Source organism: Homo sapiens, chromosome 2 (genome assembly GCF_000001405.40).
Source record: "Homo sapiens chromosome 2, GRCh38.p14 Primary Assembly".
Taxonomy (NCBI): domain Eukaryota; kingdom Metazoa; phylum Chordata; class Mammalia; order Primates; family Hominidae; genus Homo; species Homo sapiens.
The window spans coordinates 162787163-162808850 of NC_000002.12; the positions used below are offsets into that span (position 1 = coordinate 162787163).

Consider the following 21688-nt stretch of genomic DNA (forward strand, 5'->3'; position numbering starts at 1 on the left):
GTCCCAGTCTCCAGGCTGGCACATGTGGATTTAGGATCCATGTGTAGGATATCCTCCATGGATTCAGATCCCAGGTCAGTGCCCACAGACCCAGAACTCAAGCTCACTCCCCAGACTCAGGCTCCAGACTCACCTTAGTGTCAAGCTGGCTCCTGCAGACCCAGGTTCTAGGCTGGCACCATGAACCCAGGCTCTAGGCCCACTCCAGTGCAACACCAGACTCAGTGGCTCCAGGCTCTAGGCTGGCTCCTATAGCCCCAGGATCCAGGACCAACCCGGTGCCAGGCCAGCCTCTGTGGCCCTGAGCACCAGGCTGGCATCCACGAATTCAGGCTTGAGGCTGCTACTCATGGATCTTGGACCCAGGTCCACACACATAATCACAGACATCAGGCCCATCCCTCTGTATTCAGGTGCCAGCACTACCGCAGTAGACTGCAGTGCCTGGCTAGTTCCACAGACTCATGATCAAGTCTTTCCCATGGATCAAGGCAGCAGGCCTGGCCCAGGACCAGCCCGGCCCCCACTGACTCAGACTCAAGGCCCAGATAACATCAGTTCAGATGCTATATACTCAGTTTCCAGGTCCATCTCAGTAGACCCTGGTGTCAGGCTGGCATCCACAGACCCACAGACTCACAGGCTCCAGGACCACCCACAATGACCCTAGTTCCAGGCCTACTCCAGTGAACCAAGGCTCCAGGCCCACGTGCTTGCTGACCTTGGCACCAGGCCAGCCACCTAAGGACTCCAGCAGCAAGGTTATCTGCAGATACTTCAGCCTATCTACCTAGACTCTTTGGAAAGGCTGACTGGTGAAGTGCTTTCTTTGCCAAATACAATATGTAAAGAGTAGAGGAGGACCCTAATTCTTCAAATGATAAGATACCAAGGGGAGACCAAAAGGATTGCTTATAATCATGGAATCATGACACCAACAAAGAAAAAAAAATAAAGCATCCATAGCCTATCCTAAAGAAATGAAAATCCATGAACTGTGTGGCAATAATTAAAAATACAAACAGTCTCTGATTTATGATGGTTGACTTATGACTTTTTTACTTTACAATTGATTGAGATATTAAATGCAGTTTTGACTTATGATAGTTTTACCAGGACATAACCCCATCATAAGTTGAGAACCATCTGTAATCATTTTGAAGAAGTTCAATAAGCTACAAGAGAACACCACTACCTGAAATAAAAATCAGGAGAACAATAAAAAACAAAATTAAAAGTTCAACAAAGAGACAGGAACCATATAAAAGAACCAATCAAAAATTCTGGAGCTGAAGAACACAATAGATAAGATTTAAAATTCTTTAAAGAGCTTCAGTAGGAGACTTGATAAAGCAGAAGAAAGAATTAGCAAACTCAAAGACAGGTCATTTGAAATGACCTAATTGGAGAAACAAAAATAAAAAGAAATAAAGAAAAAGAGGGAAGAAAGCCTGCAGGGCTATGGGAGACCATCAAGTGAACCAATTATGTATTATTTAAGTCCAAGAAGAAACAAACTAAAAAAAAGAAATAGGCAGAGGGATTCTTAAAAGAAATAATGACAGAAAACTCTAAATATGGAGAAGGAGATGAATATCTACATTCATAAAATGTAAATTACCCCAAATAGATCAAACATAAAGAGATCGTCACTGAGACATATTACAGTCAAATTCTCAAAAGTCAAAGACAAACAGAGGATTATAAATTAGCAATAGAAAAGCAACCTATAACATACAAGGAAACCACAATAAGACTATCAGAAGATTTCTCAGCAGAAACCTTGATGCCAGAAGATGATGGGATGATATAGTCAGGTACTGGTTAAAAAAAAAAAAAAAAAAAAAAAAATCCAAAACTGTCAACTGAGAATACTGTACCTAGCAAAGGTTTCCTCAAAAATGAGAGATACTTTCCCAAACAAAGACTGAGGGAGTTAATCACTATAGTTGCCTTATAAAAATGCTAAAGTGACTTCTTCAAGTTAAAACAAAAGCAAACTAACAACATGAAAATATTAAACTCACAGTAAATAAGAACATAATCAAATTCAGAATATTCTAATACTGTGATGGTGGTGTGTAGATCATGTTTGACTTTAATATAAAAGTTAAAAGACAAGACTATTAAAATTAATATGGCCATCATCATTTGCTAATAGATATACAATATCTATTGAAGCATCTAAGTATATAAAGCAAAAATTGATATAACTGAAGGGAGAAGTAAACAGCAATACAATAATAGTAGAAGACTTTAATAACCCACTTTCAACAATAAACAGATCATCCAGGTAGAAAAATCAATAAGTAAACATTGGACTTGAACAACACTATAGACCAAATGAACCTAACGGACGTATATAAACCATTCCATTCAACCACAGCGGAATACATGTTCTTCTCTAGCACACATAGAATGTTATCCAGGATCATAGATTAGGCCACAAAACAAGATTTACCAAATTCAAGAAGGTTGAAATCATGTCTAGGATCTTTCATGAACAGAATGGTATGAAATTAGAAAACAATAACAGGAAGAAAATTAGAAAACTTAAAAAAAATGTTGGAATTAAACAACATACCCCTGAATATCCAATAAATCAGAGAAGAAAGCAAAAGAGAAAAATATCTTGAGACAAAAATGAAACACAACATATCAAATCTTATGGGATATAGCAAAACCAGTTCTAAGAGGTAATTTTATAGCAATGAACACCTATATTAAGAAAAGATCTCAAATAAGCAACCTAACTTTACACCTTAAGGAACTAGAAGAAAACACCAAAACAAAATTAAGCCAAACATTAACAGAAAAAAATCAAACTATATTAGAACAGAGATAAAATAAAGACTAGAGAACAATAGATAAGATCAATAAAAATAGGAGTTGTTTTTTTAAGAAGATAAACAACATTGACAAAACTTTAACTAGATTATCTAAGAAAAAAGAGATGACTTAAATAAAATCATAAATGAAAAAGGAAGCATAACCACTGATATCACAGGAATATAAAGAATTACAGGATACTATTTGTATAATAATTCACCAACAAATTGGATAACCGAGAAGAAATGGATAAGTTTCTAGAAAGACACACCTACTAAGACTGAATCATAAAGAAAAAGAAAATTAAAACAGAATAATAACTAATCAGAAGAAATAAAGTTGAAGCAGTAATCACAAATCTCTCATCAAAGAAAAATGCAGACACTAATGGCTTCTCTGGTGAATTCTACCAAACCTCTGAAAAAAATTAATACTAATTCTTCTCAAACTCTTCCAAAAAATTAAAGAGAAAACACTTACAAACTCATTTTACAAGGTCAGCACTATCCTGATACCAAAGCCAGGCAAGGACACTACAAGAAAAAGATTATAAGCCAATATCCCCAATAAACATAGATGCAAAAATCCTCACCAAAATACTAGCAAACTGAATGGAACAGCACATTAAGAGGATCATTCATCATAGGAAAGTGAGATTTACACTTGGGAGGAAAGGACGGCTCAACATACACAAATCAAAAATTGTGATACACTTCATTAACAGAATGAAGGATAAAAATCATATGATCATCTTAATATATGCATAAAAGGCATTTGACACAATTCACAACTCTTTCATAATAAAAACTCAACAAATTAGATAAAGAAAAAATGTATTTCAACATTAAAAAGGCCATATATAACATATCCACAGTTGAAATCATACTCAATGGCGAAATGCTGAAAACTTTTTCTCTAAGACCAGGATGCCCATTCTCACCACTTGGTATTCAACATAGTACTTGAAATCTTAGCTGAAAATATTAGGCAAGGAAAAGAAATAAAAAGCATCTTCATTTGAAGGGAAGAAGTTAAATTGTCTCTACTCGCAGATGGCATTATCTTATATAAAGAACACCCTAAAGACTATACCAACAAATCTGTTAAAACCTAATTTAGTGAAGTTTCAGAATAAAAAAGTCAACAGACAAAAATCAGTTGCATTTCAATACACTAACAACAAACTATCCAGAAAAGAAATTAAGTCAGGTAGCATGATGCCTCCAGCTTTGTTCTTTTTGCTTAGGATTGCCTTGTCTATTTGGGCTTTTTGTTGTTGTTGTTTCTTATGAATTTTAAAAATAGGTTTTTTTTCCTAGTTCTGTGAAGAATGTCAATGGTAGTTTAATAGGAATACTATTGAATTTCTAAATTGCTTTGGGCAGTATGGCCATTTTTACAATATTGTTTCTTCTTATCCATGAGCACAAAATGTTTTTCTATCTGTTTGTGTCACCTCTGATTTCTTTGAGCAGTGTTTTGTGGTTCTCCTTGTAGGGATCTTTAACCTCCCTACTTATCTGTATTCCTAGTATTTTATTCTTTTTGTGGCAATTGTGAATGAGATTACATTCCTGATTTGGCTCTCAGCTTGATTGTTGGTGTATAGGAATGCTAGTGATTTTTGCACATTGATTTTGTATCCCGAGACCTTGCTGAAGTTGCTTATCAGCTTAAGAAGCTTTTGGGCTGAGACTATGGGGTTTTCTAGATATTGGATCATGTCATCTGCAAAGAGGGATAGTTTGAATTCTTCTCTTCCTATTTGGATGTCCTTTACTTCTTTCCCTTGGCTGATTGCCCTAGCCAGGACTTCCAATGCTATGTTGAATAGGATTAGTGAGAGAGGGCATCCTTGTCTTGTGCCAGTTTTCAGGGGGAATACTTCCAGTTTTTGCCCATTCAGTATGATGCTGAATGTGGGTTTGCCATAGATGGCTCTTATTATATTGAAGTATATTCCTTCAATACCTAATTTATCGAGTTTTTTTTTTAACATGAAGGGGTGCTGAATTTTACTGAAAGTCTTTTCTGCATCTATTGAGATAATCATGTGGTTTGTGTCTTCAGTTCTGTTTATGTTATGTATCACATTTATTGATTTAGTTATGTTGAACCAAACTTGCATCCCAGGGATAAAGCCTATTTGATCATGGTGGATAAGCTTTTTGATGTGCTGCTGGATTTGGTTTGCCAGTATTTTGTTGAGGATTTTTGCATCAATGTTCATCAAGGATATTGGCCTGAAGTTTTCTTTTTTGTTGTATTTATGCAAGGTTTTGGTATCACAATGATACTGGGTCATAGAATGAGTTAGGGAGGAGTCCCTCCTCCTCAATTTTTTTGGAATAGTTTCAGCAGGAATATTGCCAGCTCTTCTTCATACATCTGGCAGAATTCATTTGTGAATCCATCTGGCCCTGGCTTTTTTTGGTTAGTAAGCTATTTAATACTGACTCAATTTCAGAGCTTATTATTGGTCTGTTCAGGGATTCGAATTCTTCCTGGCTCAGTCTTAGAGTGTATGTGTGTCCAGGAAATTATCCATTTCTTCTAAATTTTCTAGTTTATGTGCATAGAGGTGTTTATAATATTATCTGGTGGTTGTTTATATTTCTATAGGGTCAGTGGTAATGTCCCCTTTGTTGTTTCTGATCCCCTTTGCGTTTATTTGAATCTTCTCTCTTTTCTTCTTTATTAGTCTAACAAGCAGCTTATTTTTTTTTTTTTCAAAAAAAACCCAGCTCCTGGATTTGTTGATCTTTTGAATGGTGTGTGTGTGTGTGTGTGTGTGTGTGTGTGTGTGTGTGTGTGTGTCTCAATCTCCTTCAGTTCAGCTCTGATTTTGGTTATTTCTTGTGGTCTACTAGCTTGGGATTTGTTTGCTCTTAGTTGTCTAGTTCTTTCAGTTGTGATGTTAGGTTGTTAACTTGAGAGCTTTCTAACTTTTTGATATGGGAATTTAATCTTATAAATTTCCCTCTTAATACTGCCTTAGCTGTGTCCCAGAGATTCTGGTATGTTGTATCTTTGTTCTTACTAGTTTTGAACAACTTTTTGATTCTGCCTTAATTTTATTATTTACCCAATGTGGTACATATACACCATGGAATACTATGCAGCCATAAAAAGGAATGAGATCACGTACGTTGCAAGGACATAGGTGGAGCTGGAGGCCATTATCCTTAGCAAACTAGCACAGGGACAGAAAACTAAATACCATATGTTCTCACTTAGAAGTGGGAGCTAAATTATGGGAACACATGGACACCTAGAGGGGAACAACACACACTGGGACCTATTGGAGGGTGTGGTGTAGGAGGAGGGAGGGGATCAGCAAAAATTACTAATGTGTACTAGGCTTAATACCTGGGTGATGAAATAATTTGTACAATAAACCCCGATGAAACAAGTTTACCTATATAGCAAACCTGCACATGTACCCCTCAACTTAAAATAAAAGTTAAAAAAAAAGATTAAGAAATCAATTCATTTTATAATAACATAAACAAAATTTAGAAATAAATTTAACCAAAGAGGTAAAAAGATCTATATACTGAAAACTATAAAACACAGATAAATGGAAAGATATCCCACATTCATGGATTGGAAAGTTAATATTGTTAAAATGTCCATTCTACTCAAAGCTATCTACAGATTCAATGTAATAATTATCTAAAAAAAAATCAAGTTCATAGAAGTAGAGAGTAGAATAGTGGTTGCCAGGGAACAGGGATTGGGAGGAATGGAGTGATGTTGGTCAAATGGTAGAAAGTTTCAGTTATTCAGGAGAGAAAAGCTCTGGAGATCTATTTTTTATTTTCTGTTTATTTTTTAACTTAGAGTTCATTTTGCCTTACATGTAAATATAATGTACAGGATGGAACTGTTGTTAACAGTGTTGTGTTGTGTACTTGAAATTTGCTAAGAGAATAGATCCTAAATGTTCTCACCACAAAAAAAGGTAACTATGTGAGGTAGTAGGTATGTTAATTGATTGTGGTGATTACTTCACAATGTATACATGTATCAATACATCACATCTCACAACTTAAATATATACAATATTTACTTGTCAATTATTCCTCAGGAAAGCTGAAAAAAATAAATAAAATTTACCTGTTTCTCATTTAGAAATTTGCAAGAATATTTTCAGAACTTAAAAAAAATAGTCTGCATACTGGCTAGAACTTGATAGTAAAGTCAAAACATGAAAGGAAAACAAAGAAGGAAGGAAGGAAGGGCAGGAGGGAGAGAAGGAAGGAAGGAAGGAAGAGGAAAAGGAAAAGGAAAGGGAAAGAGGGAGTTGATCATTTACATGCCAGGAACTAACTCAGATGTATCGTATACCTGATAACTGAGCATGCAATCTACTTCTTGTTCTTGCCTATGATCTATAGGTGTGCTGCAGATGGCATCAACGCTTTTCTCCTAAAAAGAACTCAACTCAGTCCTGGGCTAGAAAAAGATGCTAAAACATTGGAGAAACTATTAGAGCTGTGGCTTCTGTATATTCACTTAGTACTTATACATTAACTACCAGAAAAACTTCTGCAAATATTTAACAATCACTGTCCTTTTAATGTTTACTCTTTCTCTTTTTCTCTTATACATGTTCTTAAAGACACTTATACTCTAAAACCTATTCCTATTGCTCATATAGTAAAAGAAAGTCTCAGACAAGTTTTACTTGATTGAATTACCTGAAGTTGCTCTATTAATTAGGCTTACTAAGCCAATTTTTATTGTATAATTTATGCATTCCCATTAGTAATATACGACAATGCCTTCCAAAAAAGCCTAACTTCAAACTATAACATAGTTTAAGACTCAGAAGAATTTGACATGGAAAAATGACCTTATTAATATGCATAGAAACACATCAATTATATTTCTTGATATCCTTCAATTTTAATAGTTTTAAAAGTTCTGATTCATGACCTTGAGTAAAATACATATCAGAGCTAATGAAATTATACTACATTTTTTTAATTTCAAGCTATTCATTGCAGTCTTAACTATTTGACCAGTTGGTCAGTAGTTAAGAATATGCTTTAGTTTTTAATATCTTTAAAATGAATAAGTATCCACAAAATCTATATTTTTAGGTATCTCATTTCATAGATACAAGCAGACTCATTAATTAATTGTATATTGAGGTTTGCCTTGTGTATTGTCAATGATTTAATGTTCTATGATTCAGTAATTAGGCAATGCAATTGCTATTAAAATCTTTTTTATCATTACCAAATTCAGCGGATAAATTGGAATAAAATTGTTGAAGACTTTATACTTTCAGGGAGTGTTATGGTGAAAGGGGAGAGAAAATGGTATGGAAGGAAGGGTCAGCAACAAATGAGGAATCTAGGCTATAATGGTGTTCAAATTTTTTTTTCCATTTCAGGGACACCCTCTTTTTAAAGGACATTCAATTCAAATGTATCTTCTCTGGTTAAAGTATGGTGAAGTCTGTCCTGTGGGCACTCCCCATTGACTCCTAGCAGCTCTTGAGCCCCATCTTCAGGATCCGTACTTTGATAGTCACTGACAATTAGCTTTGAAAATCTATAGTTCCAATCCTGTGAAATGAGAAGAATGTTGAAGCTATAAAGGAGGTCTTTGCCTGCATTCAGATTCTGACACCAAAGACTCCTCTGATTATACTGAAGTATGTAAGAAAACCTTCTCTTGAAATCAAGGACCATTTCTCTTCATCTTATCTTGAGCTACATACCAAATATGAGTACACATAGTTAGGATTCAATAAATAATTTAAGATACTTGTGAACACCTTGCTCTGACTGGTTCTATTTTTACATTCAGAGAGGAAAGCATCCTGTATTCTCCCTATAAACAAATCTAGGAGAATAGGGTCATGGACATCCTATGTACACAGAATTACAGTCCGATGTTGGGTATCTTACTCCTGTGAAGTGAAGGGAAATAGAAAAGTAAACAAAGAAGACCACAGTATAAGATGTCACCTTAAAATATAAACCTGAAGACAAGAAAAACCAGGCTCAAGGAACAAATGAGCAGGAAAGTTGAAATTCTAGAATACATTTGTTTTATACCAATATTATTTGCATCTTGTTTAAATGAAAAGTTGTTTACATACACAATGGATGACTACAAAGAAACAGCATGGAAACTGGAATCAGAGGCCTGTGTCTGAATTTCATGTCTACCACTGAACAACTGCATGACACTGGGAAATTTACTTAGTTTCTATAGACCTCATTTTTCTTATCTGTAAAATGGCTTCCACAATCTGAAACTCAAAGGTCTCTTGACAAGATTGAATGTGATAATGCATGTAAGGGATCAGGACGAAACCCAGCACAAAAAAAGACTGCAAGCCACACTGTTTACAAACACCGTTTCCAAGTAAAAAAAAAACCTGCTCATTGAAACTGAAGGCACCAGTGTCTGTTGGGTTCAGCACGTAGTGAGACGCTCAACTACCTGCCTCAGGTAAGCTTAGTGTGCTTACGTACTTCACTAACGATAGCTAGTTTAGAGGTTCTTTCCTCGTAATTCAGGTGATATAATTGCTCTATGGTTATGCCCTACCCACCTTGTCTTAAACAGTGCAAAATATGTGATATCATTACACATTTCTTATCAGGAAAATATTTCAAAGGGCAGGCACTCTCTGTGTTTCCTTAGTAACAGCAGCTATGTGGAGCATCTTCTGTATTATGTTTAACATGGTGCAAATATGAACAAGTAATCACAACTCCTGTGCACCAGCAACTAGAGAAATGTAGCTACAATAAAATAGGTGGCATTCATATTTGTTTGTTGGCCATACCTGGGACTTTTTAAGAACCTGTTTTTGGTTAATCTTGTTTTTTTTTTTAAATTCTAAACCCTTTTTTGTGTAATGTTGCAGCAGAAGCGAGGGTCTCAGAAAACATCTCCTGTTCTGATCTGGCACAGTTCCAATTATATGGATAACCTTCCATTTGTAAAGCTCTGAAATAAGTGTCACAAGGATACGTAGATTTAAGATGCAGGTCCATCTAGAAGAAGTACAATCTGGTTGAAGGATGGTGGGGCAATACAACAAGTACATAACTCACTTTGTTGCAAGGCATAATTGGTAAATCCTCATCTACTGGGACTACAGAAGTTTGACAACCCCTGTCTCTCGTGTCTTATGGCCACCAATGACTGCAGTCTTTCATTGTGAATTTGGGTTTCGTCTCAGAAATCTTCTCAACATGATGCTCTGTCAAGCCAACAATGTTTGAGCAGTCAGCCATTTGTTTAATATCTCTGGATTATTGCATTGGTAATTCTTGCTGAAAACACTCAAGTCACCTGGGAGAACTGATCTGTTTATTAATAGCTTTTAGGATTTCAACATTTCATATTTAAACAGAGAAATCTAACATTACTTGACAGAAAACAGGAGTGGTCATAGGAATGAAAAATTCACATATCTTTGGGAACCAAGTTATTATTATCAATGAGTGTCATGGACTGGATAAGAAAACAAGGACTGGTTGGACCAGAATTATAGCAGGATACAGACACAAAGGCATTTAAATTTTAAAATTCTAAGAATGAAATATAACTATAGTAAATACATCTTTGGACTACTTTTGGCTTATGGATCATGGTTTGCAAACCCTTGATCTGTGACATAGATGTTAAAGGTGGGGTAATGAGGTTGTGTGTGCAGATCTCCAAACACCAGAGCATCATGGGCAGCACTAACCTGCATGGTGCCCTTAGGAGGGCTGTAAGCCAGAAGCAAGTTCTCCATTCTGCCCTAGTCAGGCGTGACTATACCAAGGCTTATAACTGGAGATACAAGCCAAGCCATATACCTGGCAATTCAGCAAAGTTCAGAGAAATATGGCATGAATTCATACAAATTAATCAAGTGCATAACATTAAGAAACTGCAATTTTGAGTTGTGCGTATGCTTATAGTGGCCCATTTCTAAATTAAAAGGAAGACTATTTCTGTTTTTCTCTTTCCACACTTGATAAAATTAAGAAAAATGTGGACAATGACAAGAATAGTAATAGAAGTTGTAACATGACTTCAAGCCATCCTTAAGTAAATATACATTTATCTGCTTACAGTGAATGAAAAACAAAGGTAAAAATCTATCTCCTTCTGTGTCCCATGTAAACTATACATAGTTATAGATCACTTATACCACTTTCCTGTTTTCCTTAGTAGAAGCATCCTTCCTAGAAGCAGAGTATTTTAAGAAAACGAAAGTAGTTTGCCCTAAGGCTTTTTAAAATTTACATTTTATTCCTTGTGAATTGGCCGTCCCAGAGAATTTCTGAAAGAATTACAGAGCTAATACTTTTGAAAAAAATTCATATAAGAAAATATTTGCCACATCTTTGACCTACATTACAACTGGTATTAATATGGTAGGATTCTTAGGAGATACACATGAATTTTAGAAAATTATACACAGATATTTCAAAATCTTCAATACATTTTCTACATATTAGGTGACAGAATCTTGAACAAACTTCTAGGATTCATTTTCTAAGAGCTTTGTTTTCCTAATCCAAGAATATTAGTTACACACTCAGTCCAAATGCATTATTGGTGAAATTTTGGCTCAAATCAATATAGTCAGCAATATTTATTGAACACCTCATGTTTGTGTTTGATTCTGTCACCTTCTAAAAAGAAGCAGTATTCATAAATCCACCTTTCAAAATGTTTTTTAAAATATTGCCTTAAAACTGTATCTTAAAAAGATTGAGTTATCATGAAATGCCCCTTAGACTGTTCTGATAGAGACCTTTAACAATTTTTACACTAATTTTTTTCCTTATCAAGTGCGTAGTGCAAACTTGGCACAACACTATGAATGAAAAGCGACCCCCACCTATAAAGAGTTCCCAATTCAATAAGGGAGATAGACAATAAAAAGCAATTACAAATCTGCTGCAAAAGACCAGACATCCAGTGTCATCTCACATACTGTACATTTTGGATTGGCTAATTACTGTGCAACACTTCTAGACAAACTCTAAATGGCCATTTATGATTAATTCTAGTATATTCTTGGTGAGCAGTGTTTGAATAGGGTCAGTTTTGTGTCTATTACCAAAAACCCACTGTGGGAAGCCCCACTTGAGAAATATATTTTATTTTTTTAAGTAGTAGGCAAAGCTTTGCTTCCCTTGAGAAACAAGATGTTTTCTCCTTTTTAACTGGCCCTTTCTACATTTTCCTTAATCTGTGAAAAAATTCAATGCCAAATTCAATGCTCAAATATAGCAATGATGGGGTCTGAATGGTCCCTATATTGTGTTTAATTTTTTCTCCCTAAATTTTCTATTTAATTTAAATTTCTTCTTTAAATTTTTGCAAAAATATTTTACTATCGAACTGCATACATCTTTGTTAAAACAGTAATATATTCCTTGTGGAACCACATGAAGCATAGGTAATAATCAAGCAATATTTTTTAAAGATAAGGTAAATATTAATATATCAATCTTTACAACTCAGATCTTTAATATTTAGAATACTGTTTCATGATCATTATAAATATTTATAAGTAATCCTCATTTTCTCAAATTGTCCTGTTCAAAAAACAATATTCATAAAATTAGAATTTATCTAAAATCAGATTTAACAGTACATATATGATCAAGCTCCCCTCCACACTTTTCAAATTGTAGAACATTTTGAGGCTAAAAGAATACCAAGGGCAAAATTCCAATCAATTTGCAAATCATAGCAAAACACAGGTGCAACTGGAACAGACTGCTGTCATGCGAAAGGACATTTTCATTTTTGGTAAAACAATTTGCGTTCCTGGTTCGCATTTCAAAGCCTTAGAAAGTCCAGGGCATCATGAATTATACACTTGTCTTTTCTGTATTTCTGTATTGCTGTCTTACCAGTGCTTATGGAAGTGTAAGAAAGGGACTTTGCATTATAAAGTACTTTGTTTTACACACATACACACACACACACACACACACACAGAGCTACTCAGAATTGGGTGCACCAATTCAAAGCTGTTGAATACAAGAAAATATAAATATATACATTTTATCTTTTATAAGATAAAAGATTTCTTATCAACCTTCCACCACAACAAACAATGAGTATTCCAGGGGCAGATCATAGGGCATCCACTGAGCCTTCCAAAAAAGGAAGAAGGACTTATGGTGAAGGAACTTAAACCCGGATAGAAAAATAACCAGATGTAGCATTGTAGAAAATGAATGTAAGTGAGAATTGTTATTGCTGCCGTGATTTCAGCACCTTAAATATTTAAGTGTAAATATTTAAATAGAGACGGGAAATATTTATGTTAAAAAAGAAAGCTTTTCTTTTTCATATTTTAAATCCCCACTAATACCTGGGGATTTGCCAGGTCTTTTTACTGAAAGTCTTGTACAACGGCAGTATTTTTACATTTTTATTGAGTATACTATTATCACCTATGGTAATTTTTCTGTTTTTTTCATCCACCATCTCCAACTTAAAAGCTTTGATTAAAACAGTAACGTCACAATACCTCAAGCTCTAATTCCAAATGTTTCATGAAGGGTCCTTTGAAGTGTTTAGCCCACTCTCATGGTAAAGAATATTGTTTCCTTATTACCCACTCATATGATGCATGATTACTAAGTTTTTAAAAAGGCATTATTCAGGCATGTGTACAAGAATATCACATGTTAAAACTAATGAAAATAAAAACTTGTATGGCTTTTATTATTCCTTGTGCTTTGAATGCTAAAACACAATGATCATCAATGTCGACCATGAATGGCAAATGCCAATGTGCTAGGCCTTTGACACCCTTATGATGTTGCAGAACTCCCACCTTTAGAGCACTAAAAGTAATCCTGTGTTCTTGTAGTCTTATCCTATTTGTTTCATAGTTTTTTTATTGGGTGTCAAGGGGTAGTATTTAGAAAAACAGACTTTAAGGTGATGGTAGTTATCAGAAATCTCTTGCTGGCTTTTCTCTCCTTGTAAGAAAGGATAAATGCTACATACAAATATTGACATTTATTTCACATTTTACATAAAATTCATGTTTTTTAAAGCCATGTTTATATTTATGGAAAGGTAAACACAAGGGTTCTCTATTTTTAAAAGAAGAAAAAATTATTTGATGTATTCCGAACTAATGCGAAGAGGGTAGAACTACTTAGAAAACAAGTGCATATTTGATAAAGTAAAATAATGCTATTCTAAAAAATAAATAATAATGGAACAAAGATATTAGTGGGGATTTAAAGTATGAAAAAGACAAGCTTTTTCAAGCATAAATATTTCCCTCTTAACCTAAATATTTACACTTAAATATTTAGGGTGCTGAAATTAACTGCAGGAATAGCAATTCTCAACAATTGTCTATTTTTAATTTACACAAGCAAAAGTTGGAATAAAAAAATTAGTAAGATTCTGAAGTAATTTCTTTTTTCTCAAATTCCTTTTTACCATTTTTGGAAGTAATTTCTTGAAGCACCATTTTTTTTCCTTACTAAGAATGTCATATCTAAAATAATTCAGCACCACAAAAATGTTACATAATCATTCTGATGTTCTCAAAAGGCAACAGAATCATTTTTCATTACAAATAGATGAAGGATAGTGGGATACATTTAAGCTAATATCACATTCAGCAACTCTTCTGTGCCATTATGAAAAGTAAAATCATTGTGGCGGATTAGACTTTCTTGTATCACAATAAAACAGAAGTTATTTGAGAATGCTAAGCAATAAACTCCATTAAGAACTCAATTAATAATAATGAAACCCTACACAAGGAAAATCCCCATCTAGAGTCCTGCCTGAATACTAATGATTTAATGCAAGAAGTTGTTGGAAGAGGGAGCCATGCTTGTGCTTCAATGAGTTCCTTACAGCCTCAGTACATCATTATGGCCCTGGAGTTTGTTATTAACTAAATACCTGTTCACTTACTAAAATCTCAGTCTATTAGAACAAATCTTATCCATCAGTTAACAAGAATATGATATATTCCAATATAGTGGTTCACAAACTTTAGTGTGCATCAGAATCACCTAGGAATCTTAAGCCACAGATTCCTGGACCTTGTCCCCAGAGTTTCAGATTCAGTAGGTCTTGTGTGAGGTTGGAAAATTTGCATTTGTAGTAAGTTTAGTAGGTGTTGCAGATGGTGTTGGTTCTGGAACTAGTTTGAGAACATCCCTGTTATTTTAATAACTCTAGTTTCTTTTCAAAGAAAAGACTGATAATTTCCCAATATTATCAAATATGATCAAAGTTTCCAATACTCAAATGGGCTGGGAAAAACCTAAGCTATTAATCAAAGTGGTTAGTAGTACTCTAGCTGATGAACAGTTTTAAATACTAGTTGTTAGGATTAAACTCCACATTAGCTTCTGAATTAGAATCTTTAAGAGCAGACGACTTTTGTTAAACTTCTGCCAAAAGCTACCTTCTCTCTCGGGTCATATTCTAAGTCTGACTTGACTTACATGAGGCCTGCAATTAATTCTCAGTGGGGTATTTCAACTCAGAATTGAGTACATTTACTCCAGCAATATCTCTATACCAGTGTTATCCAATAAAAATGGAATGTATGCTGTAAGTACAATTTTAATTTTCTGGTAGCTATAGCAAAAATGTAAAAATAAACAAAATAAATTATGACAATATATTTTATCTAATCCAATAAACCCACAAGAATAACATTGCAACATGTAACAATATACAGTAATTATTAATGGGATATATTACATTTTTGTACTAAATCTTTAAAATGCAATGTCCATTTGATACATAAAGAACATCTCAATTCAGAAGCCAAATTTTTAGTGGTTCAAATTAAGATGTCTAAGAAAAATAATAATTTTTAACACAAACATATTTTATGCTTCAGATTTTTTATTTAATTTTAATTTAGATAATAGAAAATTTAAAAATTCAGCTTCTCAGTGATACTAATCGGATATTCATTTCAAGTGTCTCATAGCTACATATGGGTAGGAGGCCATCCCAAAAGGCAGCCCAACTCTATACATTTAACCATAGCATTAATCCATTTCTTTTGTCCGGAGGTTTCCCCAAGATTTCTATTTTGAGAACAAAATGCTATCCTAGCTCTGCTAAAAATAATTGTTACAATTCAATCACCAGTGAGATCGCCAATTTATTCACAGACAAAATTATTTACTCTAAACTTCTCGATAGACTCCTTCAGAAGGGGAATATTTTAATTATTTAAAATGTATTCCAATTTAGTTCAATTTCCATAAGTGAGGAATTAACTTTGATTAAACTAGCAATAGACAAAAGAAAAAGTATTAGTTTGAAAGTAATTCTGGATTAGCTGCCAATGATAAACTAATCATGTCTACAATAAACTTGTAGGCATTTTTGTTGATCTATTAAATACTTGTGTGAAATATTTTAATGTATTATAACATTGGATTTAACTCTCCAGTCACAGAACTTTATCATCCCTATTTTACAGATGAGGAAAGTGACACTTAGAGTGTATAATCTCCCCAAGGTAACACAGCCCCTAAATGATTCATTTTTGCCTGTGGAGTAGCCTAAATGCTTTTTACTGTATCATGAGATAATATAGAACTTTACTTTGTAAAAGTCATTATTCATAGGCTAATGATCTGGCAGTCAAAATTATTGGCACATATTTCATTCTAATGAAAGAATCACCCCTGGAATCTGAGTGACTGTAGCAAACAGTTTTTACTTTGGTATATAATTCGCAGTACAATATTTAGCATAAAAAAGGAACAGGAACATTTATTGAAACTTGGAGTTTGGCTGAAACTTCACTTCAGATGATCAGTGCCCCCTTTTCTTGTGTTTGCATTTTTTACTTACAGGATCTGTGGACAATGACACATTCTGTACACTATTCCTGTTCATTATGACATGCCTGAGTGTTTCCAATTGTCTAAAAAAAAAATCAAGAAATGTACTCCAAAGTATTTTAAAATCATATTAACTTAATTTCACTTTTGAAAGTAAAAGTATATCTGACACCATTAGTAAAATTAGAATAATGTTATTTCTATGAACTTGAGAATAGGTAGTTGATGAGCAAAAACATTAAGTATATCTAAATTCACAAATATGAAATTTTCTAATTCACTGTCTCAAGGAACTATACAGATGTATAAAATCATTCTAAGCATTCTCCCTAAGAACAGAAACAAGACAAGGATGCCCACTTTCACCACTTCTATTCAACATAGTACTGGAAGTCCTAGAGAGCAGTCAGGCAAGAGAAATTAAGGGCATCCAAATAAGAAGAGAAGTCGTCAAACTATCACTGTTTGCTGATGATATACCTAGAAAACCCTACAAACGCCTCCAAAAGACTTCTAGATTTGATAAATGAATTTCAGTAAAGTCTCAGGTTAAAAAAATCAATATACACAAATCAACAGCACTGCTATATACCAACAATGACCAAGCTGAGAATCAAATGAAGAACTTAATCTCTTTTACGATAGCTGCAACAAAACAAAACAAAATAAACAAACAAAAAACAACCTAGGAATGTATTTAACCAAAGAGATGAAAGATCTGTACAAGTAGAACTACAAAGCACTGCTGAAAGAATTCATAGATGACACAAACAAATGGAAACACAACCCATGCTCATGGATTGGAAGAATCAATATTGTGAAAATGGCCATACTGCCCAAAACCATCCACAGAGTCAATGCAATTCCCATCAAAATACAAACATCATTTTTCATAGATTTAGAAGAAAAGCCTTAAAATTCATATGGAACCAAAAAAAAAAAAGAGACAAATAGCCAAAATAATCCTAAGCAAAAAGAACACATCTGGAAGCACCTCATTACTGGACTTCAAGTTATACTACAAGGCCGTATTTACCAAAATAACATCTTAATGATATAGACACATAAACCAATGGAACAGAATAGAGAACCCAGAAATAAAGCCAAATTCTTATAACCAACTTATCTTCGACAAACATAAGTTGGGGAAAGGACATCCTATTTAATAAATGGTGCTGGGAAAACTGGCTAGCTACACGAAGAAGAATGAAACTGGATCCCTATCTCTCACCCTAAACAAAAATCAACTCAAGGTTGATCAAAGACTTAAATCTAAGTCTTGAAACTAAAAAATTATAGAGGACAACCCTGGAAAAACTCTCCTGGACACTGACCTAGGCAAAGAAATCATGACTAAAGCCCCAAAAGCAAATGCAACAAAAATAAAAATAAATAAATGGTACCTAATTAAACTAAAAAGTTCCTGCACAGCAAAAGAAATAATTATCAGAGTAAACAGACAACCCAAGAATGGGAGAAAATATTTGCAAACTATGCATCTGACAAAGGACTAGTATCCAGAATCTATAAGGAACTCAAAAAAAATCAGCAAGAAAAAAATATAATCCCATCAAAAAGTGAGCAAAGGACATGAATAGACATTTCTCAAAAGAGGATATACAGATGGCCAACAAACATATGAAAAAATGCTCAATATCACTTATCATCAGGGAAATGCAAATTAAAACCACAATGAGATACCACCTTCCTGCTACAAGAATGGCCATTATTAAGAAGTCAAAAAACAATAGATGTTGGTGTAGATATGGTAAAAGGAGAATGCTTATACATTGCTGGTGGGAATATAAATTAGGATAACCTCTATGGAAAACAGTATGGAGATTCCTCAAAGATCTAAAAGTAGATTTACCATTCAATCCAGCAATTCCACTACTGGATATCTATCCAAATGAAAATAAGAAATTATAAGAAAAAGACATATACATGTATGTTTGTTGCAGCACAATTCAAAATTGCAAAGATATGGAACCAAGTTCAGTGCCCATTCACCAATGAGTGGAAAAAGAAAATGTGGTATATATACAGCACAGAATACTACTCAGACATAAAAAAGGAATGAAATAATGTCTTTTACGGCAACTTGGATGGAGCTGGAGGCCATTACTCTACGTGAAGTAACTCAGGAATGGAAAACCAAATACCGTATGTTCTCACTTATAAGTGGGAGTTAAGTTATGAGTACACAAAGACATACAGAGTGATATAATGGACTTTGGAGACTAAGGAGGGGGCACGGTGGGAGGGAGATGTGGGGTAAAAAACTATATATTGGATACAGTATGCACTACTTGGGTAATAGGTGCACTAAAATCTCAGATTCACCACTATGTAATTCATCCATGTAACTGAAAACCACTTGTACCTCAAAAGCTATCGAAATTTTAAAAATTGAAAAATAAAATAAAATAAATTTTAAGCTTAGCTTAGCTAACTCAATTTTGGGAATAACAGCTTTTCTCTCCATACGTCACCTTCAAAGAGGAGCTTTTGGATGAAGATAATAAAATACTATTTATAAATTACAATTTATTGAGTTTTTACTATGTGCTCTGTTCTGTTATGCCAGAAAATAGTAAATGCCTTTGAATGATAACTAACACACACTATTACTATAATTCATAGATTTCCTTATCTCCATAATTTCTGGGTAGAGAGCAGGCAGTTACCAATAGCTGTCATTACAGTTAAAAAAACAGAAAATGATTTGGCCTTCTAGCCCTCAAATTCTGCTACTCAGTGTTACAATTTACATTGTGCTTTAGGGTATTCTCTTAAATTCAGCAACAGAAGGAATATTAGTAGTCTCAGACAATAAAAATTGTTCTAATCTGGCAATGATAACTCAGTATTACATCAGGCATCCACACCACTAGCAATACTGGAAATTTAAATGGAATTTGTGGTTTCGGTAAATCTGAAGTTGTGGAATTAAGGAGTAGTGATTTTTTGTTTTTGTTTTTGTTTTTTTATTAGGTCAAATGGAATTTTTTTTTAAAAAAAGATAATTTGTAACTAGATTAACTCAAAGTATAACAGAAACTAGCTGGTTTGACCATTATATAGATTACTACATAATCTATGCATTTAAACAGTTATGTTGGAAATCATTAAAATAAGGAAATCCAACAATAGAAATAGAAACTATAGTATAGAAATAGAAAGTAGAGTAATAAAAATACTACTGAAATAGAAAATAAGAAATTATAATATCAAAATGCAATCGATGACCACTAGATACTCTTTTGCAAAAAACAAAAACAAACAAAAAACAAGGCTAGGTGTGGTGGCTCAAGCCTATAATCCCAGCACTTTGGGAGGCCAAGGCGGGTGGATCACTTGAGATCAGGAGTTCAAGACCAGCCTGGCCAACATGGTGAAAACCCATCTCCACTAAAAATACAAAAAAAAAAAAAAAAAAAAAAAAAAACAAATTAGCCAGGTGTGGTGCTGTGCAACTGTAGTCCCAGCTACTGGAGAGGCTGAGGTACGAGAATCACTTGAACTCAGGAGGCGGAGGTTGCAATGAGCCGATATGGTGCCACTGCCCTCCAGCCTAGGCAATAGAGCAAGACTCTGTCTCAAAAAACAAGAAAACAACCCAACAAGACAAAACTCTAAAAATATTTACCTCTAGGGCTTAATTTCAATAGGAAGTAGAGATTCTGATACAAGTTTGTGGCTTTTTTGTATTTGAAAAACAGTCTAACATCCCTCTGCACGCTGAAAAATAATGACATGAAGTGGAAAAGTGATTTTTCAATAGTTTATAAACCATGAGCCTTGAAACTACATACTATTTATAATCTTTTCATCCATTTTTTGTTTTGTTTTGTTTTGTTTTTTTGAGACGGAGTCTTGCTCTGTCGCCCAGACTGGAGTGCAGTGGCGCAATCTCGGCTCACTGCAACCTCCGCCTCCCAGGTTCAAGCGATTCTCCTGCCTCAGCCTCCCAAGCAGCTGGGACTACAGGCATGCGCCACCACACCCAGCTAATTTTTGTATTTTTAGTAGAGACGGGTGTTTCACTATATTGGCCAGGCTGGTCTCGAACTCCTGACCTCATGATCCACCCACCTCGGCCTCCCAAAGTGCTGGGATTACAGGCGTGAGCCACCGCTCCCAGCCATCTTTTCATCCATTTATCTGTTCTTTTTTTCTGCAAATATTCCTTGAATGCCTGGTACAGGGATTGGAGCCCCTATGGATACCAAAATCCATGGATGCTCAAGTCTGATATATAAAATGGCATGATATTTGCATATAACCTACACACATCTCCTGTATTCTTTAAGTCATGCCTAGATTACTTATGAAACCTAATGCAATGTAATGCTATGTAAATAGTTGTTACACTGTATTTTTCAATTTGTATTAATTTTTATTGTTTTTAAAACATATTTTTGATCCATAGTTAGTTGACTCTGTGGAGGCAGAACCAGGGGATAGGAAGGCCAACCGTTCCATAAATGCCAGACACTGCACAAGGCTCTGGATCTATGGGTACAGTCTTTACCCCACAAAATTTTTAGTATGAAGGAAATTCACCAGGAGTTATCACAAAGGAGTTCATCTCTGTGGAGCAGGACTGAGCTTCAAAGGGACAGAAGAAAGCGTTACTTTTGACTACATACTATATAGTCTGTTCAAATTTTGTTTTTACTAAATTTGTATTAACTTTTAAGTGATTTTTAAATTTAAAAACTGTCAATTCACATGTTAAGACTAGGTAAAGATGAAATTCAACAATGGAGTACAAACTTTAAGGGAGTTTGAAAATATGAATCACCATCTTGATACTCTATTTGTTCAGTTTACTTCCATTTTGGAATGCACCATACACACACATGCATATGCAACCTGTGTGTGCATATATATATTAAAGATATATATACATATAATAAAAGAATACTAATTATATTTTTCATAAAGAAATTTTGGAATTAGTTTTCAGTCTCTAAATACAAGAAGCTACACAATAGAAAACAAAAGGGAGA

General features: G+C 34.3%; 1 protein-coding gene and 1 long non-coding RNA gene across 8 annotated transcripts in view; one reads left to right on the forward strand and one right to left on the reverse strand.

Annotated features, from left to right (window-relative positions):
* The window catches only part of KCNH7-AS1 (KCNH7 antisense RNA 1), a 29037-nt gene extending 18227 nt beyond the window's left edge, over positions 1-10810 (forward strand). Inside the window, exon 5 of the long non-coding RNA NR_110258.2 lies at positions 8234-10810. This is a non-coding gene — a long non-coding RNA (KCNH7 antisense RNA 1). The remainder of the gene's footprint in view (positions 1-8233) is intronic.
* Positions 1-21688, reverse strand: part of KCNH7 (potassium voltage-gated channel subfamily H member 7) — a 467361-nt gene that overhangs the window by 415756 nt on the left and 29917 nt on the right. The window lies entirely within an intron of this gene.